The sequence below is a fragment of the Homo sapiens genome, chromosome 7 (genome assembly GCF_000001405.40).
Source record: "Homo sapiens chromosome 7, GRCh38.p14 Primary Assembly".
NCBI lineage: Eukaryota > Metazoa > Chordata > Mammalia > Primates > Hominidae > Homo > Homo sapiens.
Window position 1 is genome coordinate 1,294,561 of NC_000007.14, and position 27,914 is coordinate 1,322,474.

At 57.0% G+C, this 27,914-nt stretch overlaps 2 annotated features.

Annotated features, from left to right (window-relative positions):
- Positions 6,851-7,352: an enhancer, noted in NCBI's record as "H3K4me1 hESC enhancer chr7:1341047-1341548 (GRCh37/hg19 assembly coordinates)". NCBI's record gives its function as "activates a minimal SCP1, AML or CMV promoter by ChIP-STARR-seq in primed H9 embryonic stem cells {active_cell/tissue: H9 hESC(primed)}" and the evidence as "EXISTENCE:reporter gene assay evidence [ECO:0000049][PMID:30033119]".
- Positions 26,443-26,943: an enhancer, noted in NCBI's record as "H3K4me1 hESC enhancer chr7:1360639-1361139 (GRCh37/hg19 assembly coordinates)". NCBI's record gives its function as "activates a minimal SCP1, AML or CMV promoter by ChIP-STARR-seq in naive H9 embryonic stem cells {active_cell/tissue: H9 hESC(naive)}" and the evidence as "EXISTENCE:reporter gene assay evidence [ECO:0000049][PMID:30033119]".

Below are 27,914 nucleotides of genomic sequence, written 5' to 3' on the forward strand. Positions count from 1 at the left end.
GGGCTGCCCAGAGCCACATGGTGACTCTGATTAGAGTTGAGTCTCTGCCTTCCAGGGCTCTGGGGAGAACCGGTGATATCAGAGTTCTTGGTGGGGAAAATCTGCCCAGGGTAGTAGCTCCAGAGAGCAGAGTCACAGCTGCATTTCAGGGGTGGGTGTGGGTGCGTGGGTGAGTCTATGGGTGTGTGTGTGTGAGTGGATGTGGGTGCATGGGTGGGTCTGTGGAGGGTGTGTGTGTGTGTGTGTGTGCTTATGTGGGTGCATGGGTGGGTCTATGGAGGGTATGTGTGTGTGGGTGCGTGGGTGGGTCTATGGAGGGTATGTGTGTGTGGGTGCGTGGGTGGGTCTATGGGGCCTGTGTGTGTGTGCCTGTGGTGTGGGTGCATGGGTGGGTCTATGGGTGTGTGTGTGTGTGTGTGTGTGTGTGTGGATGTGGGTGCGTGGGTGGGTCTGTGGAGGGTGTGTGTGTGTGTGTGTGTGGATGTGGGTGTGTGGGTGGGTCTATGGAGGGTGTGTGTGGGTGCGTGGGTGGGTCTATGGGTGTGTGTGTGTGGTGTGGGTGTGTGGGTGGGTCTATGGGGCCTGTGTGAGTGTGTGTGTGTGTGTGTGTGTGTGTGGTGTGGGTGTGTGGGTGGGTCTATGGGGCCTGTGTGAGTGTGTGTGTGTGTGTGTGTGTGTGTGGTGTGGGTGCAGGGGTGGGTCTATGGAGGGGGTGTGTGCGTGAGTGCATGGGTGGGTCTATGGGTGTGTGTGTGTGTGTGTGTGTGTGTGGATGTGGGTGCGTGGGTGGGTCTGTGGAGGGTGTGTGTGGGTGCATGGGTGGGTCTATGGGTGTGTGTGTGTGTGTGTGTGTGGATGTGGGTGTGTGGGTGGGTCTGTGGAGGGTGTGTGTGGGTGCATGGGTGGGTCTATGGGTGTGTGTGTGTGGTGTGGGTGTGTGGGTGGGTCTATGGGGCCTGTGTGTGTGTGTGTGTGTGTGTGTGTGTGTGTGGTGTGGGTGCAGGGGTGGGTCTATGGGGCCCGTGTGCATAGGGTTGTGTAGGAGGTGGGGTATGTCTGACACATAGACCAGGAACCTGTGTTTCTTTGTGTGTGTGTGTGAACGTGAGTATACCTGTGTCCCTCGGGGGTGCCAGGGGTTGGGGTGTCCCGGGCAGCTGAAGACTCTGCATCCCTGTGAGACGGTCCCTGCCCAGGCAGCACCCAGGGGTGCAGTGCACAGTCTGGAAAGGGGGGCCCCTTCCTCTGCCGCCCTGGACCTGGGCTGTGGCACCAACTAGGGCTACAGAAGATGGAATTTGACCTCTCCCCCTGGGCCACCCACCCAGCCCCAGCCTCTGGGGCCCCAGGCCTGGGCAGGGGCCTGTGCACATTCTTCAGGACCACAGAGGGGGAGCAGCTGCTGGCAGCATTTCCATCTTCTCTGTGGTCAGTTCAGGGTGAGGGAGCCTCCCGCCCCTGTGGTTCCGAGGCATGACTGAGCTGGCCTCAGCCCCCAGGTCCTTCCTTGGCTCTCTGCTGCCCCGGGCTGAGGCTGAGTGAGCAGGGGCATGGGGCCTGAGAAGGGACCCAGTCACAGCACGAGCCCAAGGCTGGGCAGTCCTCCCCGGTGCCGGCCCATCGGGGTGCGTTAGGTAGGCTCACGGGGACCAGCCCGGGTCACCAGGTGCCACCTGTGCACAAGGGTGCCGACAGCAGTGTCTCCTTTACCCTCCTGAAGGAGTGTGAGGTGGCACTCTCATCCCCACCCAACAGGAGGGGCTCCCTGGGATGACACCGTGGAAGAGGAGATGCCACAGCCAGAGCTGGAAGCCCGGTCTGCCAGGCCCAGATCCGGGCCCCCTGCGCTGCAAGGCCACCTCAAAGCTCGAGCGGGTAGGCGCCCGTCCGTCCCTTGCCAAACCTGTGCTGTGGGCCAGGCCTGAGCTGGGAGCCGGGGACCCAGAGGACCAGATGTGCCCCACGCCCCTACCCGGGGGCTCCCATCCTGGGGCTGGGACAGAAGAGGCAGTCACAGCCGTGTGGCCAATCGATTTCTGTCCTCATCTGCGGGGCCTGGGAAGGAGCTGGCCCCCGAGATGGGCCACCTGGGTCCCGGGCCTCGGGGGTCCCTGGGACAGCCCGCGTCAGGGTCGACTGTGTCTGGCCCAGCAGGCGGTGTTTTGGCCCAAGGCCCTGCCTCCCGCTGTCTCTCCCATGGCCTCTCTGCTTGGCCAAAAGTCACCTGGTCACTCCCTGGCTCTTAAATTTGCAGGAGGCCGGTGGCATTTCTCCAGACTCCCGGCCTTCCTAATTTATGTGCTGCTGTGGCAGGGAGTATTTTCTCTAAAAACAGGATGGATGTGAGAAAAACAATAACGCCCCCAAACCACACTTAATGGGTGGGTCGCACTGGCTCGTTAGCGCTGAATAATCGGGCTTCAACCACACCGCTGGGGAACAAAAATAAACAAGGGCACTGGGAGAATCAGGATGGGGGGGCTTCCACGCTGGGGGGTGCGCTCGGCACCCAGGTGCGCGGGGTGCAGGGGACGCCGCTTGAGGACTCCCAGCAGCGTGGGACGTGAGCACCCCTGCAGCCGCCGTGCTGGGCACCCACCTTGGGAAAAGGTCGCTGGGAGGTGGTGCTGGTGTGTGTGTGGGAGGGGGTGGTGGCAGGGGCAGGCCAATCTGCCCTCCCCAGGAGGAAACCCTTTGTGGTGAACCTAAAACCTGCTCGGTAACTTAAGCTTGCTTCCTCCTGCCCTGTCCTCAGGAAAGATGGGGAACAGCTGGTCGCCACCCTTTCTCTAATAAATCCCATCAGACTGCATGCTGGGGGAGGGGCCGAGGGGCGATGGGAAAGGGTGGGGGTCCCGCCAGCTCCCCTGTCTGGCTGGACAGAGCGGGACAGGCCCAGCCCCTGCCTCCGAGGCCCGGGAAGATACGCAGATCCCTATCGCACCCCGACTCCCGGTTATCAGAAAGGAAGATCCAAGCGGGGCTTAAGCCCCCGTCACCCCACTTCCGCTGCCTTTGTGCAGGGGGTGGGGGCGTGCGGCACTGAGGGAAGCAGGGGTCCACGGGGAACGGCGTCACTCCTTTCGTGCAGCCAAGTTCCAGGCGCATTGTGTACTGGTCCGAACTTGAGCTCACAATTTGGGATTAGAGCAAATCCGAGTATTTTTCTGCTTGCCTGCCCGCTCCCGGGCGCCCAGAGCCTGCTGGGTAACTGCCTATTATCCGCCGGTTCCACTCCAGTGCCCTCCCCAATAAAACTTTTCATATCCTTATAAACGAACTCGATTGCTGTGTTATAAACATTTACACTGTGCTAACAGATCATCTCCGCACATCAGAATTGGCTAAATTCCCTTTTCCAGATGAATATATTGAAGGAGATTAGAGATATGATAGCTTTTCAGATTGCTGAACCCAGAGAAATTAGTTTAGTGAGCATTTACAGAGGCTAAATTGGAACCATTAAATAGTGGATTAAATTGATGGCACTTTCATTGTCTGTCCTTCGGTACCGCTGTAAAATCAATTAGCCGTCACCAACCCATTCTCCATATAGTGAGATTGTCCTGCTCGCTGGAAGCTGATGCAAAACCTCCCAGCGGCGGCCAGAGATGGGATCACACCTATTAGGTGGGGTGGCCTGAAATAGCATCCGGGACCCAGGTTGCTGCGGAAAGGTTCCCCCCCACCTCCTCGGCCCGGCTGGCACTGCCTGCCTCCGTGGGGACAGCTCTAAACCAGGGGCTGTGGGGACAGGCAAGAGGGAGCCTGGCCTGGCAGGGTTGGGACCTTGTTCTCTGCTCCTTGGGCAGCCCAGTAAGTCAGACTGAAGGTGGCCTTGGCTTGGAGGGCAGGGGCAGTCACAGGGGACTGTGCTGAGGATGATGTGGGGGGCCTGCCTGCACATCTCCAGACTCGTGGGTACACAGGATTTTTGGCATTGCAGCCTCAGGCTGGGGGCGGTCCCTGAGTCTTGGGCACAGGCTCCTGCAGTGCTGGAAGGCAGATACTATTCCTGTCCCCGGCTTACAAAGGGGGAAACTGAGGCTCAGGAGGTTACAAAGCTGCCCCAAGATCTGCAGTGCATCGGAAGCACAAGTCCAGCCTCCTGGTTCTCCCAGCCCGGGTTAGGGGCCGCTGTCCTGAACTGAGACCCTGGGCCATGTGGATTTCTCAAAGGTGAGCGCCATACGGAAGTGCTCGGAGAATGAATGACTTGGGAAATGACAGGCGACGGGCGTGGCACGCTGGTGCCCTGGCCGCCTTGGGAGTAAATGACACCGTCACAGGGGTGCAGCGCCCTGGGGAACCAAGCCTGCAGGTCCCCAAGGAGACCCGGCCCTTCCTTGCCCCAACCCTGGGAAGGGGAATGAGAGCTGCACCCCAGGGGGAGAGGGGGGCTGTGGGGGCCGGGACAGCAGGGGCTCCGCCCTCCCAGCAGCTGTCGAGCACGTGGGGTCCCAGGGGGCCAGGGGGCTGTGAAGGAGGCTTCTCCATGAAGAACCCTTTCCACAAACGTTCCGACAGCGCCCTCCAGCTTGCCAAAGCCTCTCCACGGCGTGACCTCTCCTGTCCCTCCCACCAACCTGGAAAAATCGTTAGCTCCTTCCACAGGCGAGGCAGCAGGAAAGGCTGGGAGCTGCCAAGGTCGGGCAGCGGCTGGGACGTCTCAGCTGCCCCCTCCTGCCCAGGCCTGCGTCCCCCTCCGTGGCCTGGCCTCCAGCTGAGCTGGGGGTGCCCTGGTCGTCGGAACCCTGCCCCAGCTGCACAGGGCTCCGTCGAGCTGGGGAGTCAGTTCTCCCCCAGCAGATCCAGGGTCAGGGCCCAGGGAGTCTACAGAGGTCCGGAGAGGAGGGCTGGGACCGGTAGCCAAGAATCCTGGCCACGTCTGGGTATCTAGGCCCGAGGGTGTGCATGCCAGTGTCTTCCCAGAGTCCGTGCATGTTGGCATGGGCCTGCCTGTGTGCTGTGATGCGGGGGTGCACAGTGTCCAAGGCCTGGAACCCCAAGGGTGGGCCCCCTGCCCTTCCTCCCATCAGGTGGGCTGCGTGGGCCTGACGTACAGGTGCTTGGGGAGGGGTGTGCATGCTGAGGCTGTGTCACATGTACCAGTGCCTCCTCTGCAGCCCCCAGAAGCTGTTTCTGCTCAGACACCTTTGGTGCCCAGGTCAGGGTGGGGCATCTGGGGCCTCAGCAGGTCATGCCCGCTGGGGATGGATAGAGGCTGGGTGATCTTTAAAATTTTCAAAGACCAGTGTGTGGGAAGGATGTTGACTTGAACCCGGTGAAATCAGGCTGGGCCAGGCCTCCCAAGAGCCCTTAAGCCTCCTCCCCTGGTGGCTCAGAAACCTAGAGAGAGGGCCAGGCGTGGTGGCTCAAGCCTGTAATCCTAGCGCTTTGGGAGGCCGAGGCGGACGGATCACTTGAGGTCAGGAGTTCGAGACCAGCCTGGTCAACATGGTGAAACCCCGTCTCTACTAAAAATACAAAAATTAGCCGGGCATGGTGGTGTGTGCCTGTAATCCCAGCTACTCGGGAGGCTGAGGCGGGAGAATCACTTGAACCCAGGAGGCGGAGGTTGCAGTGAGCCAAGATCGCACCATTGCACTCCAGCCTGGGTGACAGAGTGAGACTCCATCTCAACAACAACAAAAAAGAGACCAAGAGAATGGGCCCCTCCCAGATCGCCCCTCTCTGTGGGGCCCTGTCAGGGTCCTGGGGGAGGCCTGCCCATGGACCTACTTTTCTGAGCTCAGGGCAGAGCTTCCTGGCAGGCGGCAGCCCCAGTCCTTCCACCCTCCACCTGCAGTGTTGCGGCACCTGCCTCTGTGCCATCTCAGAACCTGCCCCTGGGTGAGGGGCTGAGCTGCCTGTCCCAGGAAGAGTGCAAGCCTTGCCGATGGGGAGGAGGTAGACAGAGCTTGGCCCTGAGTGTGGAGACACCGAGGCTCCCTCCTGGCTGCCCTGCGCACAGCACAGGGCACACCAGGCCAATTTGCAGGGGTCAGCGGCCCCTACACGCCTGCTCCCAGCCTCTGCAGGGGCCCAGTGTCCTCCCAGCATCCTCCCTGTCCTCACCTTCCTGACCCCTGACCTCTGGCTGCTCTGAGAACTGGCAGCCCCCCGGGCTGGTTGAGAGGCCCCTGTTCCAGCAGATTAACGCCCCCTCCTGAAAAAAAACACAGGGCCTGTTTCATCTGAGCCCGGCAGCTGGGCGGGGGCCTCAGAGGCACAGAGGCAGTGATGGTGGGGGTGGGGGCGCCATCCAGGTCAGCTGGGGCGGTGCACAGAGACGGAGCCCGGTCGGAAATCCGGGTCAGAGGCCACCATGCTGGGCAGGAGCTCAGCGCCCAGGGGAGCGCTGGAGGGCAGAGACCAGCTAGGATGGGCCGGGGCGTCCGCCATGGACCCCACGTGGCATTTGCTGAGCTCTTCCACTGCCTCCTCTGCCCTGCGGCTCCCTAGAGGCCCAGGAAAGGCCTCATTGACTCAATTTACAGATGAGCAAACTGAGGCCCAGGGAGGTGAAGACTTGCCCGGGGCCTTGGGTAACAGAGGGTGCCCCTCTGGTGTTCAAAGCCCAGGTGTCCCACTCATGCCTGGTCGGAGCTGCAGACCATCTGGCCATTTTCTCCTATTTCGCATGGGTGAGCTTTGGCCCAGAGAGGGGCAGAGATCTGCCCGAGGTCACACAGGAAGCTGGTGGCAGCAGGGCCAAGGCATAGCCCGGCCCCCTGCCCCGAACCTGGGCCTCTCCGCTGGGGGCCCCTGAGTCTGTCTCCCCCAAGCCCTTCCTGCGTGGTCAGGCACAGATCACTGGGCCAGGTGGATAAGGTTTCTGGACAACTGGGGGATGGGTACGGTGGGCTCGGGTGCAGGGGCGTGGAGGTAGGGGAGCACATGGGGGCAGGTGAGAAGGCAGGCTGCGGGAAGTTCTCACGCACGGGGTGACCTGGCCTGCCCTGGCTGTGCACCCACGGCCACTGACAACCGCTATTTAGGGTGAGCTGGGCAGTCTGTGCACGTGTGGCCCAGAGGCAAAAGCTCAGTCCCCACCCGGGGAGGGCACAGGGGCCCTGGTCCTCAGGACAGCCCTGCCTCCAGCTCCCGTCTGCTGGTGGGAGGAGGCTCTGTCTCTGGGAAGCCCCAGAGTCTCTAGTTGGGGATTGATTCTCTCCCCTGGGGATCGAGTGCTCAGCAGGACCGTGCAGTGTCTGGAGCAGCCTTGTGAGGAGGGAAGACCCCAGGTAGGGACCTGTAAGCTGAGGCTGTGGGCTCTGCCACCGGCTCACTGGGTAAGCACCTTTGACCCCGTGGGCCTCGGTTTCTCCTTCTGGATGATGGGCTGATGATCCCACCCATCCACCCCCACACACGGAGGGCTGCTGGGAGGAGACGGAGGACAGGCCAGGTCCCAGGCGGGCAGAAGATGAGAATACAGGGTCTGTTGTCATTGTTAACGCTTGTTACAGATGGAGTCTGTCCCAGCCCCAGGGAATGCCGGTGGCCCTAGGGGAGGGGCCTGGGGACCCGGGAGCCTTTCATCGCCTGGGCCGGCTCCAAGCAGTGCTCGTCTGGGGATGATGAATGACTGTCAGCCTGGGTCTGAAGCCTGGGAGAAACCACGTGGAGGCCCAGAGACGTGGGATCGAGAGGAGAGAGCCGCACCCTGGAAGGGCCCCGGCCCGTCTGCCCATCCCTCTGTCCAGGCCGTTATCCTCTGTCCCTAAAAAGAGAATGTGGCAGGAGGGGCTGGGGAATCGCCGCAGGGGCGCTAAGGATATTTCCTTCTTTTTTTCTTTTTCTTTTCTTTTTTTTTTTGAGACAGGGTCTTACTCTGTTGCCCAGGCTGGAGTGCAGTGACACCGTCATAACGCACTGCAGCCTCAAACACTGGGCTCAAGTGATCCTCCCTCCTCAGCCTCCCAAGTAGCTAGGAAAACAAGCACGCACCACCATGCCCGGCCAATTTTTAAATTTTTTGTAGAGATGAGGTCTTACTATGTTACCTAGGCTCATCTCCAATCCCTGGGCTCAAGCAATCCTCCTGCCTTGGCCTCCCAAAGTGCTGGGATTACAGGTGTGAACTGCTGTGGCCGGCTCTAAAAACGTTTTCTAAAAGGCTTGGGCTGGTGGGAGGGAATCCCTGCTGGGCCCGGCTTACTCCATGGTCATGTCCAGCAGATAGCCACCAAAGTCTTAGCCCATTGTGGGATGCTGGGCCCAGGGGTGCCCTGAGGCTTCCAACAGCCCCTGAAGATAGGCTGTGTCCTGGGAGGAGCAGAGCCCACTGAGGTGAAGAAGGAGGTCTCCTCTTCTGCCCTCCCCATCCTCCATAAAGATGGTGTTTATGGTTGTTTGGAAAAACTGGACTGTGGCTGGGCCCCAGACCAAGGCCGGAGTGGCCTAGCTACCCAAGGGGACAGGAGCCTGGCCTCTTAGGAACTTGTTCTGGCATGTCCTGGCAGGAGCTGTGTGATGCTGGGTGGATTGGCACTCTCAGAGCCTGGGTTTCCATCCGTTGGGGGTCACTCAAATCGGGGGTGTAGAGCGCCCAGCACGGCGCCTCCCACAGTGCAGGGCTGCCAGCTCCCGAGTTGGCTGCTCTTGGTCCTGGAGCCCCATCATCACTGACCGCGTTTCCATGGGTAGAGCAGCGTGGCTTCCTGCATGCCAGAAGGGAGAGGCTGGCACCAAGATGTTGTTGAAAACGTGGCTGGGTGCAATGGCTCACATCTGTAATCCCAGCACTTTGGGAGGCCAAGGTGAGCAGATCTCTTGAGTCCAGGAGTTCAAGACCAGTCTGGGCAACATAGCAACACTCCATCTGTACCAAAAAATACAAAAATTAGCCGGGCACGGTGGCACGTGCCTGTAGTTCCAGGTACTTGGGAGGCTGAGGTGGGAGGATGATTTCAACCGTGGAGGTTGAGGCTGCAGGGAGCTATGATTGCACCACTGCATTCTCGTGTGGGCCACAGAGAGAGACCCTGTCTCACACAAGAAAGAAAGAAAGAAAGAAAGAAAGAAAGAAAGAAAGAAAGAAAGAAAGAAAGAAAGAAAGAAAGAAAGAAAGAAAGAAAGAAGGAAGGAAGGAAGGAAGGAAGGAAGGAAGGAAGGAAGGAAGGAAGGAAGGAAGGAAGGAAAGGAAAGAGGAGAGGAGAGGGAACGAAAGGAAAGAGAAAGAGAGGGAGGGAGGGAAGGAAGGAAGGAAAGGAAAGAGGAGAGGAGAGGGAACGAAAGGAAAGAGAGAGAGAGAGGGAGGGAGGGAGGGAGAGCTGGTGTAAATCACAGATCAGCGTGAAAAATTTTGCAGGTCAAAATATGAAGAGAATTGCGGAAGTGATTCAAAGTTCCTCCCCTAGGTGCTTATTAATTTTTTTTTTTTTAGATGGAGTCTCGCTCTGTTGCCCAAGCTGGAGTGCAATGGTGCGATCTTGGCTCACTGCAACCTCTGCCTCCTGGGTTCAAGCAATTCTCCTGCCTCAGCCTCCTGAGTAGCTGGTATTACAGGTGCACGCCCAGCTAATTTTTGTACTTTTAGTAGAGAGGGGTTTTCGCCATGTTGGCCAGGTTGGTCTCGAACTCCTGACCTCAGGTGATCCGCCCACCTCGGCCTCCCAGAGTGCTGGGATGACAGGCGTGAGCCGCCGCGCCCGGCCTCTTCACTGTTGTAGGTGCACAGTTCAGTGGCATTAAGTACATTCACATTTGTGTGCGTCCATCACCACCATCATCTCCAGAACGTTCTCCTCTTCCCAAATTGAAGATCTGTCCTCGTTAAACACTTGCTCCCCACCATCCCCCTGCCCCAACCCCGAGCACCGGCCATCCTACTTCCTGTCTCTGTGGATTTGAGGATCTAGGGACCTCGTATGAGTGGATGGCACAGTCTGTGTCCTGTTGGGTCTGGCTTATTTCACTGACCAAATGTCCTTAAGGTTCACCCACACTGTAGCCTGTGTCAGAATTTCTTTCCTTTTTTTTAGAGACAGGGTCTCGCTCTGTCACCCAGGCTGGAGTGCAGTGGCATGATCCCGGCTCACTGCAGCCTCCGTCTTCCAGGCTCGAGCGATCCTCCCACCACAGCTTCCCAAGTAACTGGGACTATAGGCACACATCACCACACCCAGCTAATTCTTGTATTTTTTGTAGAGATGGGGTCTTGCTATGTTTTCCAGGCTGGTCTCAAACTCCTGGGCTCAAGCGATCCACCTGCCTCTACCTCTCAAAGTGCTGGAATTATAGGCATGAGCCACCGAGCCTGGTCTGAATTTATTTCCTTTTAAAGGCTGAAGATAATTATTAATGACAAAGAGAAAAAAACTTGGAGAAATGCAACAGACATCAGGGTAACAAAGCTGTCAATTAACCTCACCTGCAACTGACAGGCCAGACAGCCCAGCACCCCTGCTCCAAAGCCCCGAGGAGACACAGCATCCTTCTGTTACGTTCCCTGGCAGAAATGCACTGATCATGGGGAAACACCACACGTCCAAACCAAGGGGTGTTTTCCAAAGTAACTGGCCAGTGTCCCTTAGCAAATGTCAACATGTGAACCATCCTTCATTGGTACCCAGAATGAAGGAGGCCAAGGAGGCAGCTGCCTGCGGCGTGGGGTCCTGGGACTCAGATGTTGGCAAGACAACTGATGAGATTAAAATAAGACCTGAGACCCATGTGCATGGTTTGTACCATGGTTTGCTAGAGCAGCTCATAATGTCTTCTGAGAGTTGATTGTTAAATGTTCAGGAATTTTGCAAGCCAGTTGTTAAACCGTTGGTAGCTTAAAATTGGCCTTGGTGGGAGTATTTACACCATGGAAATCGGCAAATGCTATCGAGCAGACCTGGCTTGCATACAATCGGCTACGTAGATGTAAAATCTAGGAGAGGTTGGGGGCAGGTGCACCACTGGCTATGTACACGTTGACTCTAGGAGAAGTTGGGTGCCGGTGTACTGGAGTACTCGGTATTAGTTTGCAAATTGGAAATTATTTCAAACTAAAAAGTAAAATTTATCTTTAAATTATAAAATAAAAGACTGAGCTCATCAGCCTCCTGGGTAGGATCCCTGCCAAACCAGCTCCCTGTCTTCATCCCCTTTGAAGGCATCAGGCACCAGCCAAGGCAGACGAAGACAGGCCTGGTGTCTCTGCCTCCTTCTTTAAAGACACTCTTTCCCCAGCCCCTGGGATACCACCCTCTCCTGATTTTTCTTCTCTTCCTCAGTACCTTTCAGTCTTTTTGTACAGGTTTCAATTTCATTCCATCCACCCACCATCCATCCATCTACCCAATCTCATCCATCCATCCAGCCACCCGTCCATCTATATCCACCCATCCATCCACCCGTCTGTATCCACCCATCTACCCACCCATCCACTCATCCATCCATTCATCCATCCATCCACCCAGCCACCCATCCATCTGTATCTACCCATCTACCCACCCATCTGCTCGTCCATCAATTCATCCATCCATCCATCCATCCATCCAGTCTCATCCATCCAGCCAGCCACCCGTCCATCTGTATCCACCCATCCATCCACCCATCCACTCATCCATCCATCCATTCATCCATCCATCCACCCAGCCACCCATCCATCTGTATCCACCCATCTGCCCATCTACCCACCCATCCGCTCATCCATCAATTCATCCATCCATCCATCCATCCACCCACCCACACACACATTCATCCATCCACTCACCCATCCACCTGCCCGCCCATTCATCCACCCATCCACCCACCCATCCACTCATCCATTCATCCACTCACTCATCCATCCATCCACTCACCTATTTATCCATCCATCCATCCATCCATCCATCCACCCACCCACCCACCCACACATTCATCCATCCACTCACACATTCATCCATCCACTCACTCATCCATCCACCCACTCACCTATTTATCCATCCATCCACCCACCCACCCACACATTCATCCATCCACTCACTCATCCATCCACCCACTCACCTATTTATCCATCCACCCACCCACCCACCCACACATTCATCCATCCACTCACTCATCCATCCACCCACTCACCTATTTATCCATCCATCCACCCACCCATCCATCTATTTACTCACCACACATTCATTGAGCAATTTAAATGCAGGGCATCGTGCTGGTTCATTGTTCAGTAATGAACCAAACAGGCAAAACCCCCTGACCTCATGAAGCTCATGTACCAGTGGGGGAGAAAAACAAGCAAACAAGAGAAGAGATCTATGAATTATATATGAAGGAAGGGAATACATATGGGAGGAGGGCATTTACTCAGGTGGCCAGGGAAGGCTCTTCGGAGAGGTGTCATTTAAGCTGAGACCCGAAGGATGAGGTGGGGATAGTTATGTGGGGTTTGGGGAAGGGCATCACAGGCAGAGGCCATGGCACAGAGGAAGGCCAGTATGGCAGAGGGGCGGGGGGTGGATGAGGTGGGGGTGAGCAGAGCCAGATCTCTAGGGCCTGGGAGGCCTGTTGAGATGTGTGACTCATCTTCTACGTTTAACAGGAAGATGCTGGTGGGATTCAGTCATGGGAGGACATGGATTCAATATGCCCACCATGACTACTTTGAAGAGAAGGGGCCCAAGGGACAGAGCAGAGACAGGGAGACCAGTGAGGAGGGTGTGGGGTATGTCCAGGTGCCCCGGAGAGGTGGGCAGCACAGGCTGGCTGATGGAGGAAGACAGATAGAGCCACCAGGCCTTGCCAATGAATGGATGTACCGAGAGAGGGAGAGAGAGGGGGGTACAAAACCCACTCCCAGGTCCCCAGCCTGAGCAGCCAGGTTGATGACCAGTTCATGGAGAGGCTGGGACACCAAACCTACATCCTGCTGCAAGGGGGATGAGCTTATGTGCAGGACAGAAACCTGGGAATTGCACTCTGCAGCTCACCTGCTGTGGCCCCATCCCGGCCCTTGATGTCCCCTCTCCTGGCTCACCCCCCAGGAGCCATGAACGTCTCCTGCCCCCGCCCTGGCTCCACCATGAACTCCGAGCCTGCAACAGTGTGTCCACCATCTTATCCAGGGACGTGGCAAGGGTCAAAACCAGTCGATGGTGTTCGATGGGGGCCCGATGTGTGGGTTGGACCCTGATATCGGAGGCGCCATGCCTACTGCTTAGCGAACCAGCCCTTAAAACCAGGACTCTCCCATGTGGGGCGATGCAGTGAGACAAGAGGCAACCACGTTGCTGGGGGTGCCGAAGCCAGGCCAGCCCTTATGGAGAGTGACTCGGCAACATGCACTCTGCGCCATGGAAATGCTCAGCACCTCTGACCCAGTGACGCCGCCTCTGGGATGCTCTTCCGGGGGAAATTATCCACAATATGGGGAGAGATTTAAGCCAAAGATATTCATGGCAACATTATCTTTGATGACCAAAAAAAAATTGGAAGCAGCTGAAATGTCCAACAATCGGGGAGTTGTTTAGTAGATTACGACATACACACTCGGTGGAATACTAGGCAGTCATTAAAAGTGCTAATTGCGAAGACTGGGTGGTTATGTACAAACACGCCTACAGCATGATGCCGAGGGAAGCCGTGTATGGAATTAGGGGCACATTAAGGGTGTAATGATGTAAAAAACATATGCAGCCCGAGAACGCGTGGATGAAGAGGATGGCATGAGAGAGTGTGGCACTGAGGCAGCGACGTGGAGCTCATTATCTTTTTCTGTTTTCTGTGAAGTATTACATCACTTTGGTAATCTGAAATATGAATCGCCCAGTAGGATCATGGGTGGTAGGATCATGGGTGAGTCTTGTTTTTCCTTTGTACTTTCTTGGATTTTCTAAATGTTTTCCTATAAAGAGGGTCACCTTGGACCTGCTATCTCAGAGGAGATAAGATGGGGTTTAGAGTAGGGGGGCCTCCTGGGGGTCACCACCTCGGGAGGAGGATGTTGCTGGGGGACATCATTCTCACCGTAGGGAGGAGGAACAGATGTACCCACAGGGCAGGAGGGTGGGGCCAGTCCGTCAGCAGAAATCCTGAGCTCCCCAGGGAAGGGGAGGTACCTTAGGAGGGAGGGGCTCCCCGCCCTTGGGAAGAGTCTCGGGCTGTCACAGAGGGGTCTTTTCCAAAGGATAATGGGTGGTTAGACAGCTGTCAGGTGCACTCTTGGAGAACAACGTGATCAATTGCAGGCTATTTGTTCTATCCCTGCCCAGTGCCCAGGTTTTACCTGCGTCGCCTCACTTAAGCCTCAGAGTGGTCCTGTGAAAATCAACCTTGTTTTTTTAGGAGGAAATGGAGACCTCAAGCAACTTGCTCAGAGTCATGCAGCTGGTCACTGAGTGGGCACCATGGGAGTAGGTCTCCTAGGATTGTGCAGTCCACAACTTAGATCACTGTCCAGGGCCTGCGTCGGGATTCAAATCCAGGTCTACTTGAGTTCAGAGCCTGGGGTTTCCATTGCAGCCTCAGGCCCTGCACCAGAACCTTGGGGCCCACAGAATGAGATGCTTTCCTAGTCACTAGGGAGCTGAGAAACCAAGGAAAGGGAGGAAGGGACAGGAATGACAAGCATGAAGATGATGAAGATGATGATGCTGGAGACAAAGAAGGTGATGACAGAGGTAATGATAGAGTGGATGAGGAGAGCTGCAGCTGAAGATGATGGTGGTAATGGTGGTGATGATGAAGGTGAGGGTGATGATAATGGTGATAGTGGTAATGGTGATAATTATGATGGTGATGGAGGTGATGGTGTTGGTGGTGACAGTGATAATGATGATAATGATGTGGTGGAGGTGATGATGATGATGGTGATGATGGTGATGGTGGTGATGAAAGTGATGTTGATGATAATGGTGATGGTGATGAAGATGATATGATGATGTGTTGGTGATGCTGGTGATGATATTAATGGTGATGATGGTGACGGTGATGATAACGGTGATGATAACGGTGATGGTGGTGATGGTGATGATAAAGATGATAACAGTGATGGTGGTGATGGAGATGGTGATAATGATGGTGATGGTAAAGATAATGATAATGGTGATGGTGATGAAGGTGATGGTGAAGACGATAATGGTGATGGTGATGAAGGTACTGGTGATGGTGATGATGATGAAGGTTATATGGTGATGGTGTTGGTGCTGCTGGTGATGATGGTGTTGATGGTGATGGTGTTGATGAAGGTGATAATAGTGATGCTGATGGAGGTGATGATGGCGATGGTGATGATGAAGGTGATAATAGTGATGGCGATGGAGGTGATGATGGCGATGGTGGTGATCATGATGTGATGACAGTGATGATGGTGACAATCATGGTGACAGTGACTATAATTTATTCAACGTCCTCTATGCACCAGGCACTGTGCTGTCTTTTCAGAGAAGCTATTTGTGTGGTGGGTGCGAATCTGCCTATTTTACAGATGAGACTGACTTGCCCAATGTCACTCAGCCAGTAAAGGGTAGGGCTAATATGTCAGCCTGAGTCCGTGAGATTCCAGAGCCTGGATCGGACCAAGGCTTGAGGGAGGCTGGGGGAGGGGCTAGGGCTGAGGTCTTGGCAGATGGACCCCACTTGCCAGCCAGTGAGTTGTGCGGGAGGAGCGGAAAGCTGGCTGGGCACTGAGCTGTCCACGTGGGGGCTGCCCTAGCTGTGGCCGGCTGGGGAAACCAGCTATGGCCCCTCCCTGGAGGGAATAAGGTCAGGCCAGCAGCAGAGGTGACACAGGGAGTTAGGGGCTGAGAGGTCTGGGGTGCAGATGACCGGACCTGGGTGGGGGTTCACCTACTCCAGGTTCCCATTTTGCAGAAGGGAAGATGAGGCCTGGAGATGGATGGTATCTTAAGCATGTTTCTTCTCATCTATCTATATATAAATAATATGTAATAAATATTTATATATTATAAATTATAATAAATATATATATATTTTTTTTTTGAGACAGGATCTTGCTCTGTCACCAGGCTAGAGTGTGGTGGCATGATCTTGGCTCACTGCAACCTCCGCTTTCCGGGTTCAAGTGATTCCCCTGCCTCAGCCTCCCAAGTATCTGGGACTACAGGCATGCGCCACCACGCCTGGCTAATTTTTTGCATTTTAGTAGAGACAGGGTTTCATCGTGTTGGCCTGGAGGGTCTGCATCTTCTGACCTCGTGATCCGCCCTCCTCAGCCTCCCAAAGTGCTGGGATTACAGGCGTGAGCCACCACGCCCGGCCTCTCATCTATATTGATGATGTGTTGACATCATAGGGGCCTTGCTGGCCAGGGAGGGACTGCCTCTCCTGGAGCTAGCTGATTGCTGGGGGACAGCCAAGGCCCCTGCGACTTTGCCTCTCGTGTGCAAATGCGCCAAGGCCCAGGCTGCACCCACCTCCTCTTTGGGCTGTCACGCTCCCGGGTGGATATTTCCCTGCCCTAAATCACCCAGGCCAGGAAGGTGGTGACATGATGATTATGATGGAAGTGACGGTGGCTATGGCCGACCGGAGGCCACCCCCGCAGCCCAGCACCCTCCACAGTGACCCACACCTCCAACCCCAGGCCTGCCCGCTGCTCACCGGCCCCGATCCGCGTCTTCCCCTCGCCCCTGCGGCCTCCTGACCAAGCCTCTTCCCCTCGCGGCCCTTCATGGCGCGCCATGTGCCCCTCCTCGGGGAACTGTGAGTGTAACCTCTCCTTTCAGGGTGGTTGTTTCCGTGTCTGTCACTCTATCATCCGAGATTCAAACAAACCCAGGTACAGGTTCCCAGGTGGCAGGGGTGGCCCGGGGTACGTGTCCATGCGAGACAGGGCTCAGACACAGATCAGCTTCCTGGCTTCCCACGGGTGGGGCTGAAGTGGGCTAAGCAGAGGCAGGCAGGGACAAGAGGAGGACACACGCGGGCTTCTGGGGAGAGGGCAGGACCCACGCAGGCTTCTGGGGAGAGGGCAGGGGGCTCAGGTGGAGACACACGCATGCTTCGTCTGTACTGGGCTCTGAATTCTGTGCCTCTCCTGCCTGCTGGCGACCGGGGGCCCTGCCTGACTTTGGGCCTGGGGCCTGCTGTGTGAGCCAAAGAGGGAGTGATGTTCTGAGACCTGGGCTTTGGATGCTGGAGGCCAGCAGGGCTGGTGAGGGTGGCAGAGCCTTGGGGCCAAGTCGGGCCTTGGGCGCCCACCTGCATGCTCCCCTTCTTGGTTGAGCCATCGCCCTGCCCAGGACCTGCTTGGCAGCGCCTGAAGGTAACAGAGGGCTGGCAGTCCAAATATGGGGCATTGGAGCCATGGGCTGGGGCAGCAGCCGTAGCTGGGCGGTGTGGGCAGGGGGCTGGCAGGCGCCGGCCGCGGCTGTCTCCTCCAGGGCCTGCTGTTGTGGCGTCTGGCCGCGGCCCAGCACCGCCGTCATCTGGGCTCAGCTCTCTCTGTCCGCGGGGCTGTCTCCCTGGTGGTGCCGGCCCCAGAGCGCATGGCCACAGCCAGCCTGGTCCACCCGACATTGAAGCCTCCCTGTCATAATTGGCAATTTTGTCATATTTATTCACAACAGATCGGGCTGTCAGGAGCTTGTGGGGGCTCTCCGGAGGCCCGCCGTGAAATCGGTTTGAAATGGCGTGTCAGGTTTTTCTCTCCCTGCTGAAGCGACCATCTGGCTGATAGACTCGGCGCTGGGATGATACGCTGACCCGCGGAATCACGGCTAAGCCGCTCCCGGGGGGCCACATGCCGGCTGGGCAGCCCCTCGTGCCACACCTGACCTCCCTGTGGGTTCTGGGAGCCAGGCCACAGGGCAAGGCCTGGGCTGGGCAGGGACAGGGGTGGGCACCAGGCTGGGAGCTCCCCGGGTACCCCACTGGCCCTCTGTGCTCCACTGGGTTGGCACCTTGCCACCACCCCGAGCCCACCTGGCAGACAGAGTGGGGTGCAGGGTGGGGTGGGACGGCTCCTCCCCCTGCAGATCCACAGCCGGGCTTGGGCTTCCACTGGGAGCTGGTGTGCACATGGGTGTGTGTGATCCTGAGCACATGTTTGCACACATGTGTGGTTGCACACAGGCCACACGACCCAGCGCCCCATGTGCACCAACAGATGAGGGTAAGAGACATTCGCTGCCATAACAAGCATCCCCAAGTCTCAGTGGCTGCCCAGATTCAAGATGGAATTTCTTGATCACATGGCAGTTGGGGTTGACCCAAGTGGCTTTGCTCCATGCAGTCATTCAGGCCTCCAGGCGCATTCCTGTGAGCAGCCTGGACCTGCCAGCCTGTGGTTTGTGAGTACCAGTGTCACTCAAATGGGGAGGTGGAGCAGGGGAAAGATGGAGAAGGAGTTGCGTGCGGGAAGGTCCGAGCCGACTCCAGTGCCTTTTGCTTGGTTCTACGGATTTCAGCACTGATGCTGTGGTCCCACGTAGGTGCCAGGAAGGCTGAGAAATGTAGTTTCCTGGGAGCCCTCCCCTTCTGTCATCCAGGCTGGAGTGCAGTGGCACAATCGTAGCTCACAGCAGCCTCGACCTCCTGGTCTCAAGTGATCCTCCCGCCGCAGACCCCTCATGTAACTGGGACTACAGGCTTGCACCACTACACCTGGCTAATTTTTAAGTTTTTTGTAGAGATGAGGTCTCACTATGTTGGCCAGGCTGCTCTCAAAGTTCTGAGACCAATTCTCAAGAACTTCTCAAGCAATTCTCCTGCCTCGGCCTCCCAAAGTGCTGAGATGATAGGCATAAGCCACGATGCCTGGCTAATTATTTTATTTATTTATTTATTTATTTATTTATTTATTTATTTACTGAGACAGAGTCTAGCTCTGTCGTCCAGGCTGGAGTGCAGTGGCGCGATCTCAGCTCACTGCAACCTCCGCCTCCCGGGTTCAAGCGATTCTTCTGCCTCAGCCTCCAGAGTAGCTGGGATTACAGGCATGCGCTGCCACACCTGGCTAATTTTTGTATTTTTAGTAGAGACGGGGTTTCATCATGTTGGCCAGGATAGTCTTGATCTCCTGACCTCATGATCCACCCACCTTGGCCTCCCAAAGTGCTGGGATTACAGGTGTGAGCCACTGCGCCTAGCCTCTGTTGCTAATTATTTTACTTTTATTTTTTGTAGAGACAGGGTCTCTCTTTGTAGCCTACGCTGGTCCGAAATTCCTGGCCTCAAGTGATTCTTCGGCCTCAGCCTCCAAAAGCGCTGGGATTACAGGTGTGAGCCACCGTGCCTTGGCCAGGAGCCTGTCAAGCAGGCCAGGCGTGTGCTTTAGGCATCAGCAAAGCCGTGTCACCGAAAACATCTCTGGGCAGGTGTGGGTGGGAGGGGCCTGACCCTGGGCTGGAGTCTCACCCTGGGCCAGCACTTCGGGGCTGGGATGGGTCAGAGGAGGGGTGGCTGGCTGACGTCGCCTGGTCGTTTTTAACGCTGACAGCCACATCAGGAAAGTCTGTTAGGCAGCGGTGGCGAGAAATTGATTGGTTTTGGAGCAAAGACCAAAAGCCAGGGCCTTGGGAAGGTTGTGGGAACGACGGGGTGGCGGGTTGCCTGGCTGCTCGTTCTCATGTGTGTCTGTCCGTCTGTCCCCCGAGGGATCCAGGGTCAGGGGAGGGTCCAGGTGGCCCCATCCTGCTGCTGAAATCCCCAGCGTGGATTTTAGGGGATACTGGGTGCACAGGGGCCTGCCAGGGATCCAGGTTAGGGTCTGTCTCGGAGCCTCATTGGGGGTTGTGGCTGGCACTTCCCTTGGGAGGCCACTCAGGTTCCCTGCAGCCCCAACCCTCCCACACCTGCTGTCTCCCAGCTGGGCCAGTGTGGGGCCTAGCAGGGCCGGTGCCTGGGGGCTACCTGAGCCGTGTCCATCACACCCCCAGTCTCCCCTCCCCGTGGCCTCCGACCTGCTCTTGGGCCTGGGGGATGTTGCGTCCACACCTGGCTTCTAATCCCACTGTCTCTGCTCACCAGCTGGGTGACGCTGGACAGGTCGGCTCCCCTTTCTGATCCTCAGTTTCTTCCTCTGTGAAGTGGGGAGGAGACCCCAGCCTGCGGGGGCAGGAATCCTGGAGCGCGGAGAGCGTGGTGGATTCCCTCTTCCCCACTGCTCTCCCTGTCTGCACTGGGTGAGCCCTGGCCTTGCGCTGCCTGGAGGGATGTCAGGTGGGCCCTGCTGGCCCTTCCCATGGCCTGGTGTCTCATCTGCCCAGTGCCAGCCCCGGCCACCTGGATGCTGTAGGGGAGACCCCAGCGAGTGTCGGGGGATGGCAGAGAAGCCCCTGCCTCCAGCTGTGGTGGAGTCTCAGGGGAGGCCTGGCTCCTGGCTCGGCCGGCTAAGTGGGGTTTGCGTGTTTGAACTCCGAGCCTGGTTGCTATTTTTCTAAGGATTAGGAGAAGCTGCGGCTCTTCACACAGCGCTACCCAGGCCGAGACAGGCGTCCTCACTGAGCACCCAACACCCAGGCCCACCTGGGGATGGCAAGGGGGGCACAGAGGGATGGCCCCGGGCCTGATGGGAGGGGCGGGGCTGTGGGCGGAATTGGGGGCAGAGGCAGAGGGGAGGCCGGGTCCCAGGCCTCATGACCCCGAGGGCCCAGCGCCTCACTGGGCCTCAGGTTTCCAGCTGCTGAAATACACCGCGGTGCTGACACCATCCCAGCGCCACTCCTGGCTCAGCCCTGTGTTCTGGAGGCGCGCCCAGCCAGCCTCCCTCCCAGCCTCGGTCTCCTCATCTCTGAAATGGGCCGTAGCCCATGCAGGGCTGTAAGGGGGTTAATGTAACTCGGGACATGCAGTGGTCACCCCCAGAGACGCGCACCACCCAGATGGGAGTCTGAGCCCCAGGCCTGGGCACGCCACGCTGACCGGGGCCGTGCTGTCCACGTAAAATGCACACTGAGTCACAGACGCATAGTACGAGAAAAAGAACACACAATAGTTCAGTAACAATTGTGTTTATATTTAGAATATGTTGAAATGATGACTCTTTGGACTATTTAGGACTAAATAAAATATATTCTTAAAAGTAACTTCAGGCCAGGCGTGGTGGCTCACGCCTGTAATCCCAGCACTTTGGGAGCCTGAGGTGGGCAGATTGCTTGAGCCCAGGAGTTCAAGACCAGCCTGAGCAACATAACATGACCCTCATGTCTACAAAAAATAAAAAATTAGCTGGATGTGGTGGTGTGCGCCTGTGGTCCCAGCTACTTGGGAAGCTCAGGCGGGAGGATCACTTGAGCCTAGGAGGTCGAGGCTGCAGTGACCCGAGATGGTGCCATTGCACTCCAGCCTGGGTGACAGACAGAGACCCTGTCTCAAAACAAACCCACAAGCAAAAATCACAGAAAAAGTAGCTTCATCTGTTTCTCCTGGCTGTTTTTGGCTATGGCTTCTAGGAAATCTAAAATCGCATGCTTGCGTGGCTCACACCTGTTTCCTTGGGCAGGACTGCTGCAGCGATGTTTTCACGCCCCCTTTCTTTGCCTCTGTTTATTTGTAAAACTGCAAGGCTGCAGCAGGCAAAATACAGGACCCTCGTGCTCTAAGCTTGTCAGGTTCCAGCCTGGAGTTGGTCAGAGATCTTGAACCGACTCAACTTGCCGGAGGCTCAGTGTTCAGCGTCTCAGACTCTTGGAGGGTAAGGGGCAGGTTGGGGGTCTGGGGGTACCTGAAGCTGGCTGTGAAGGACGTCTAGGAATTGAAGAATGAGGATGGAGGGTGGAAAGCCGGGTGCACTGTGGGCAGGCAGAGTGGGTGGCCAAGGTGAGGGGGGGCACGCGGTGGGGCTGGCAGCGGCCGGAGAAGCCCAGGCTGGAGCTTAGTCCTCTCCCTGTGGGCCCTGGGGCCGTGGAAGAGGTTGTTTAGTTTTTACTCTGAAACCATCTCAAACACAAACAATATTGTAAGAATAGGCCAGGTGCCTTATGCCTGTAATTCCAGCACTTTGGGAGGCTGAGGTGGGAGAATTGCTTGAGCCCAGGAGTTTGAGACCAGCCTAGGTAACATAGCAAGACCCATCTCTAAAAAAAAAAAAAAAAAAAAAAATTAGCTGGGTATGGTGATGGGTGCCTGTAGTCCCGGCTACTCAAGAGGCTGAGGTGGGAGGATTGCTTGAGCCTGGAAGTGGAGGCTACAGTGAGCTGAGATTGTGCCACTGTACTCCACCCTGGGGAACAGAATGGGAGCTTGTCTCAAAAGAAAAAAAAAGTATATATTCTTCCTATGTATAGTAAGAACAGTACAAAGAACTTTGTCTTTCCTGAACCATTTTAGAATGTCTTGTTGACACAAGCTGCATTTTCCCCGAATACATGATACTCATTCTACAAAATCAGGAAACACAGGCTGGGTGCTGGATTGAAGGGACTTTCTTTCCTTTTTCCAGTCCTATTGCAATCATTTTTTTTTCTTTTTTTTCTTTTTTTTTTTGACAGGGTCTTCCTCTGTTGCCTGGGCTGGAGTGTAGTTGTGTGATCATAGCTCACTGCAGCCTCGACCTCCCGGGCTCAAGTGATCCTCTAGCCTCAGCCTCCCAAAGTGCTGGGACTAGAGGCAGGAGCCACCACACCCGGCCTTCTGGTGACTTTCTCGTGGATGTGGAGGGATCTCCCGGGACTTGCTAGGTTAGGTCTTGAAGAGGCTTGACCGGGCGCGGTGGCTCATGCCTGTAATCCCAGCACTTTGGGAGGCCGAGGCAGGTGGATCACTTGAGGTCAGGAGTTCGAGACCTGCCTGGCCAACATGGCAAAAACCCGTCTCTACTAAAAATACAAAAACTTAGCTGGGTGTGGTGGTGTGCACCTGTAATCCCAGCTATTCAGGAGGCTGAGGCAGGAGAATCGCTTGAATCTGGGAGGTGGAGGTTGCATTGAGCCAAGATCATGCCACTGCACTCCAGCCTGGGCAATAGAAGGTGACCCTGTCCCCCCCCCCCCAAAAAAAAAGAGTCCGGGCATGGTGGCTCATGCCTGTAATCCCAGCACTTTGGGAGGCTGAGGCAGGCAGATCACCTGAGGTTGGGAGTTCGAGACCAGCCTCACCAGCATGAAGAACCACCATCTGCACTAAAAATACAAAATTAGCCGGGCGCGGTGGTGGGCGCCTGTAAACCCAGCTACTCGGGAGGCTGACACAGGAGAATCGCTTGAACCCGGGAGGCGGAGATTTCAGTGGGCCGAGATCATGCCATTACACTCCAGCCTGGGCAACAAGAGCAAAACTCCATCTCAAAAAAAAGAAGAGGCCCGCAGCTTCTCTCTTTAGTCTCTTAGGACCCCGTTGCTGGGCCTCCCTAGTTGCCCTGGAAGAAACCTGATTATCTGGGACCGCCGTGCTGTTGAGGTCACCAGTGGGCGCGCAGCTCATCGTCCTGTGTAAATCACCCAGGCCCCTCCTCAGCTCAGCCCCAGCCCTATCCTGGGCAGTGAGGGACTGTGGAGACCGTGCAAGAGTCGCTGGCTGAACCCTGCCCGGATCACCGACCCACAAAATAGATAGAGACCCTGCAGCTGGTGTTGTTCTAAGTCACTCCGTTTTGGGGGGGTTTGTTAGGAAGCAGTAGGTGATCAGAACACAGGCTCACGACTCCCTTCTACTCCTCAGACCCCATTGCCCCAGAAACGCACTTCAGAGCAGAGGGACCCGCACAGAGCCACACGAGACACACCAATGTCACGCCTCTCCCATGCCCCCTGCCCTGCCCGGGCCTCCCCCTGACCCCCAGGACCCCTGCGCTCTGGGAGGTAACAGGCCATTGCAGAGCGCGCCTGTCCTGGGATGTGTCTGCCGTCTCCTCTGCGTTGGTTTTGTAATTTGGAGGGAGCAGCCCAGAAGGACCCTGGTTCCTCTCTGGGGCATCCTCCCAGGTACGCCTGGTTTTGGCTGCGCCTTGACGGACGCTGTTCATTTTGATTCTTTGATTCAGGGGTGTCCGCCAGGTGTCCCTACTGTAAAGTGACTCCCCGTTGAGACTGGATATCCCGTTTGTCACCAAATTGTCCATCTCCCCACTTATTTATTCTCCGTTTCGGTATGGACACCTGTTTCACTCACTGACTTAGAATCTGTGTGAATCATTTTCAACTTGGATGCACAAATGGTCCTAGTTTTGGCTGGAGGGAGCCCTCCAGGAGGTTCGTGTGTCCTTCACGGCGTCCCCGTCCCGTTCTGATACCTGCGTCCTGAGGCGTCCCCCTCACAGCTCACACGCGGGGTTCTGGGAGGGCCCACAGCTCCCGAGGTGTCAAAGTCACAGGACGACTTCTGGTGGGGAGTGCAGGTAGGGGGTGCGGCTCCGTTTCACCCCGACACAATCACACCCACCGATGCCGGCTGGAGGCACATGGTCCTTACAACGGGCCTGGGCCACGCCCACCGTCCCAGAATGTGACCTGTGGGACTCAGAAGGCAGCCCCCAGACAGGCCATGGTGCTGCCCACTCGGTCCCAGGAGGCCTACCTGGCACCTGTCCCAGACACGCAGGTCCAGGGACTGGGAGCAAGGATGTGTGTGCAAATGGGTGTGTGTGCTTAGCATGTGAAAATGGGCGTGTGTGTTAACATGTGCACCCGGGCGAGGGAGCAAGTGAACTTGCAGAGGGATCCATGTGCGTGTCTGTGTGGGTGCATCTGATGTGTGCGTGTCTGTGTGGGTGCATCTGATGTGTGCGTGTCTGTGTGGGTGCATCTGATGTGTGCGTGTCTGTGTGTGTGCATCTTATGTGTGTCTGTGTGTGTGCATCTGATGTGTGCGTGTCTGTGTGGGTGCATCTGATGTGTGCGTGTCTGTGTGGGTGCATCTGATGTGTGTGTCTGTGTGTGTGCATCTGATGTGTGTGTCTGTGTGTGTGCATCTGATGTGTGCGTGTCTGTGTGGGTGCATCTGATGTGTGTGTGTCTGTGTGTGTGCATCTGATGTGTGTGTCTGTGTGTGTGCATCTGATGTGTGCATGTCTGTATGGGTGCATCTGATGTGTGTGTGTCTGTGTGTGTGCATCTGATGTGGGTGTCTGTGTGTGTGCATCTGATGTGTGCGTGTCTGTGTGGGTGCATCTGATGTGTGCGTGTCTGTGTGGGTGCATGTGTGCGTGTCTGTGTGTGTGCATCTGATGTGGGTGTCTGTGTGTGTGCATCTGATGTGTGCGTGTCTGTGTGGGTGCATCTGATGTGTGCGTGTCTGTGTGGGTGCATGTGTGCGTGTCTGTGTGGGTGCATCTGATGTGTGCGTGTCTGTGTGGGTGCATCTGATGTGTGCGTGTGTGTGTGTGTGCATCTGATGTGTGTGTCTGTGTGGGTGCATCTGATGTGTGCGTGTCTGTGTGGGTGCATCTGATGTGTGTGTGTCTGTGTGTGTGCATCTGATGTGTGTGTCTGTGTGTGTGCATCTGATGTGTGCGTGTCTGTATGGGTGCATCTGATGTGTGTGTGTCTGTGTGTGTGCATCTGATGTGGGTGTCTGTGTGTGTGCATCTGATGTGTGCGTGTCTGTGTGGGTGCATCTGATGTGTGCGTGTCTGTGTGGGTGCATGTGTGCGTGTCTGTGTGGGTGCATCTGATGTGTGCGTGTCTGTGTGGGTGCATCTGATGTGTGCGTGTGTGTGTGTGTGCATCTGATGTGTGTGTCTGTGTGGGTGCATCTGATGTGTGCGTGTCTGTGTGGGTGCATCTGATGTGTGTGTGTCTGTGTGTGTGCATCTGATGTGTGTGTCTGTGTGTGTGCATCTGATGTGTGCGTGTCTGTATGGGTGCATCTGATGTGTGTGTGTCTGTGTGTGTGCATCTGATGTGGGTGTCTGTGTGTGTGCATCTGATGTGTGCGTGTCTGTGTGGGTGCATCTGATGTGTGCGTGTCTGTGTGGGTGCATGTGTGCGTGTCTGTGTGGGTGCATCTGATGTGTGCGTGTCTGTGTGGGTGCATCTGATGTGTGCGTGTCTGTGTGTGTGCATCTGATGTGTGTGTCTGTGTGGGTGCATCTGATGTGTGCGGGTCTGTGTGTGTGCATCTGATGTGTGTGTCTGTGCACATTCCTGTGACCACGTTCATGTCGTGGTGGGAGCCTGAGGCTCTGGGGGGGTGGGGGAGGTGCCTGAGAGGGTGAACGTCCTTGCACACGTGCTTGGGTGTGCTCACGCCTGAGCGTGTGTTCACTGAAGTCCTGGGTGTGGCGTGCCCGCCTGCGTGTGTGCACACATGTGCAAGCGTGGGTAAGCATGTCAAGTGCGTGCAAGCGTGTCTGTGTGAGAGAGGCATGCATGTGTGTACAATCATGTGTGTGTGTCCGTGTGTGAGTGCATGCATGTGTGTACAAGCATGTGCATGTGTGTAAGCGTGTGCATGTGCAACCTCAGGTAACTGTCACGTGGGAGGTGCTCATTGTGTCTGAGTGCACACGTGCTTGCCTGCATGTGGACATGTGTGTGCATGGGCAGTGGTGCCCAGAGGGCATGGGAGGGGGCGCTGCAGACCCTGAGGAGCTCCCCACCCCCTGAAGACGCTGACCATTGCCCCCTGACTGTGGCAGTCAGACTCTGCCCCGCAACAGCCTGGGCTGGGGTTGGGCCTGGCCCCAGCTGGACTTTGCTGCCATTGGGGGAGGGGATGCAGCAGACCCGACAGCTGGGGCCGAGTGGGGGGACCTGGTTCCCCCTGGGGCTGAGGCCCCCTCCAGGCTGTTCTAAGGCTGCTCCCAGCTGAGGCAGCAACATCTCCCACCCAGGATTGAGAAGGAGGGACTAGAGCTGGGCCTGGGGGTCAGGCAGAGCTGGGACTGCAGGGCCTGGGGGCTTGCGCTGAGGGGTCTGTGGGACCAGGGGCCTGGGGAGGGGGCCTCCCTGGGCTCTAGAAGCTTCCATGTTCCTGACTTCCATGGGGACAAACAGCTTTGCCTAGGGCTGGTGGGGAGGGCCTGAGGGTGCCACCCACTCCGCCCTGGGGGGAGCCGGCCTGGGGCACGGAGAGGCTGTTTCCGCTCCGAGGAGGCCTGCTGGGCCCCAGCCGTAGGCGCCGCGCTCTCCGTGGCCCGCAGGATGGGAAGGACCATCGATCCTCCAGGCGGGGGGCAGTGGTGCTGGGAGCCACGTCCCCATCGACTGCGCGGTCTGTGCTCAGTTCCTAATTGGCAGGGCCGGCTGCGTGAGTCTGTCTGGGAGCCCAGAACGCTGGCCACTCCCCCCACCGCTTGAGGGGCAGTGTTGGGAGCCAGGACCGGACACTGGTGTCCTGCCCCTTGGGCAGCTGGTCAAGGCCTCCTGGATTTGGAAGGAAAAACTCCCAAAGGAGGGTGGTCAGCGGCTCAGGGGACCCAGTGACGGGGACAACACAAGGGAGGGGTCAGTCCCCCACCCAAACTGAGCCCAGGGCAGCAGGAGCCTCCCACGGGGGCGGGGGACAGACCGGGAGATCAGGAGACCAGGCCTGTGGTGAGGGGCTCGGGAGAAACAGAGGAGTGGATTGCGTGTCGGGAGGAAGGGAGGTGGGGCGGCCCCAGAGCAGGGCCAGGGTTGGGACCATCGCTGTAGGCCCAGGACGGCAGTCACTTCCCTGTGGGGGTGAGGCCCCACTTGTGTCCCGAGGGGAGCCCTGAGGGCTTGGGCAAGAGATAGAGGGTGGCCTGGAGCTGCCTGGAAGATGCTGAGCTGTCCGTCTCTGGGGGGCGTGCAAGGGGAGGCCCTGAGAGGGGACCCTGCCCTGAGTGCGCAGGAGTTCGAGTGGATGAGGCAGACCTCAGAAGCGTCCCCAAGGGCCACTCTGCTGAGCAATTATGACGGCGGGGCCAGAAAGCCAGGCCCTTCTCCCCGGAGAGCCCTCCTGAAGAGATGCTTGCAAGCTGAGGCCCGACGGGGCTCCCTACTCCCTGCCAGGCTCACTGCCTGCCTGGTTGCTGGCCCCTCAACCCAGTCCCCCCAGAATCCAGCTGCCCCCAGTCAGGCCAGCCACTGCCTAGTGTGGCCACCAGTGACAACAGACACCCCACA